Raw genomic sequence first — 2,895 nt, 5'->3', positions numbered from 1 at the left:
AAAAAAAGTAAACAGAATGATGAACAACACACAACAATTAACGGGGTAAGATGAGAGAAAACTACATAGATACATGCAATAGTATTGACAATTTTTCCAATTCATAAAATTGAGGGTAATTTAAAGCTGTTTGTTTATCATTTTGTTTATATGTATTATGTATCAAACATTTTATAAGACAAGTAATTAATTAACATATACATATTTACTTTGAAATATTAGTAGAAAAATACTAACTGATGAAAATAATTTTAGTACAATATAAATCAGAAGCATGCCATTGGTATATAAAAAATTGTTCAGGAAAATGCACGTTTGTTATCTGAAAAATACTTTAATGCCAAAATGCATGAAAGGCACTGTATAGTTTTGAGCAGAGTAATATGGTCAGACTTTCATTTCAAGGTATTGCAGGATTGCTATGTAAAAAATAGACCACAGGTAGATAGAGATTGATGCAGGGAAACTAATTAGGGGACTATTTCAGATGAGGGATGATTGTAGCTGGAGTAGACCTAGCAGTGGATATGGTGAGAATTGTTTTGATTCTGGATATTTTTCATAGCTATATCTATGAAGGTCAACATTAAAGAAAAGAGATATCAAGGTTATGGACCTTGACATTGGAGTAGAATGGAGTTGACATTTAATGAAATGGGGAAGACTGTAGGAAGGACAGGTTTAGGGGATGGAACACAAGAGTGTGGTTTTGAACATTTTAGACTTGTGATGTCTATTACACATAGAAGAAAAGATGAGAGATCAGTGTCTAAGTTCAGAGGAGGTATTAGAGCTCCAGCTATAAATGTGGATGTCATCAGTATTTGATATTTACAGTCAAGAAACTAGAATTGAAATGATTTAGAGGTTAACCCTTGACAACCAAAGGAGACTGAACACATGAGGCCAGAGAGTGAATACATTGAGGGAAGGCAGTCCTGATGTCCAATAAGGGTAGCATTTGAGAAAGAGTAAATGACCAGTTGTGTTAAATGTGGCAGATATTATATAAGAGAAAGTTGAGACCTGATACTGGATCTGGTCTGATAAAGGGCATTGATTAGAGTGACAATGGAGGCCCACATACTATGCCTAAGTATTCACAAGTTATGAATCAAAGCAGTAAATTCTTAAATTATCTCTTCATTTCCAAGTTTACAAGTATATCTTCATAATAATAAAATACAAAAATATGTAAACTTATTTTGTCAAATTATTGAAGATGAGCCACAAAATTAGATTTTAAAGAAAAAAGGAAAAGTAAAGGGAAAAAAATGACATATGATGTCACTAAGAAACCTTACAATTTTCTGCAAGAATCTACTGTATTTATTCTGAGAGGAGGGATTTGTGAAGCTAACTTGCCTTTTCTACTACTTAAGTATTATGTTCAAATCCACTATTCAGTTCACATTATCTGAGTCAGTCATTGATGGCAGCAGATTCAAAAGCCACAGACTTTCAGAGCATCTGGATGCTGGCGCATGTTTTTTTGTGAACAGAAGGCAGGAGATGTGGAGAAGTATTCTCCAAGGCCTGAATAATATTCAGTATGTGAATGAATGTTTTAGGTCACTGTGTGACGTACTAAAGATCACATGCCAAGTGATGGAGGCATCTATGTGTTCTTAAATAACATTTTTTTCTTCCTGTGGGCAGAGGTGGTAAGCTTTATGACTTGTATATGTCCCTAGATACAAGTAAATATGATTATTCCTAAACCTCATCATCTCTACTTCAAGGTTGGCATGGTGGAAGGTGGAAATGAGGAGTATTGGAGCTTTGATTCCTTAGGATTCCCTTTGTTGCACTCTCTCATTTCAATGCTTCGGATCAGGGAACATGTGGAACTCAGAGGTTGTGGGCTTGAACAGCTCCAAATGCCATAGCTGAAGCTGGATACTTTCTTTTTCTTTGTCTATTAAAGGATGTAAATATTGAAAAAAAAATCAGGCCTTGGAAGTTAGTTAGTTCCATCCGTCTTTACTTCATGACACCTTATATTTTCTAGAACTAAACAGATAATCTGGCATCATTTTTATGCATTTCTGATATTCAGAATTGAATCAAGACCTACTTTCTAAGGACTGAGGTGGCAAACTGAATATTTTGTTTAAGGTTATTTCTCAGATACTTATATTTTTTGTGACAAGTGAAAAAAATTGAATTAGAATGAGGATATTTGAGGAGAAAAATAATTTGTTTGCTAAGTGGAATTCAATATAAGTGCCATTTAGAATTTAGATATTTTCAGATACTTATTTTTCCATGCATGCGAAGTTGAATATTATGCTAAATATGAGAGTCAAGAAAATATTTTATAAAATGAATTTAATCATTTTTAGTTTGGTTGCATAAAAATATGTTATCAGAAGCTATGGCAAATTGATTTTTGGATGGAGAGGGATTTCCAAGGCATTAAGCGATTTGCTTTTGCTTGTCAGCAACATGGAAGCAAGAAATATTTTATCTCATTTGGGCCAGTAGTTCTTGTCTGGTTCATTAGTTTTCATTCAAGTTCATCTACTTGCCACGGTTAATACACAAATGCTTTAATGAGTGTGTATAAATAAGCTGAGGCTGAATTTGGCCTATAAATTTCTAGGATGTAATTGCCTCTAGAATATACGTACATAGTTGTCCTTCTTCTAATTATTTTCAATTAGTATAGAATATAAGCCAAACTAGTACTTTTTACGTACAAATGTGTGTGTGTGGGGCGGGGGGGGGGGTGGGTGGGTGGTCACTGCATTATTCAGAACTCTGGAAATTAGTTAATTAGAGTTTAAGTACTTGATGGTTTAATGAGCACAAAATCTAACTATTATAAAATTAGAGAACTTTCAAACAGATTTGATAAGATATCAACTTCCTTCTAAAATTTTTTAACTTCTT

This window comes from Homo sapiens, chromosome 3 (assembly GCF_000001405.40).
Source record: "Homo sapiens chromosome 3, GRCh38.p14 Primary Assembly".
Classification (NCBI taxonomy): Eukaryota; Metazoa; Chordata; class Mammalia; order Primates; family Hominidae; genus Homo; species Homo sapiens.
This window is presented reverse-complemented; position numbering follows the sequence as displayed.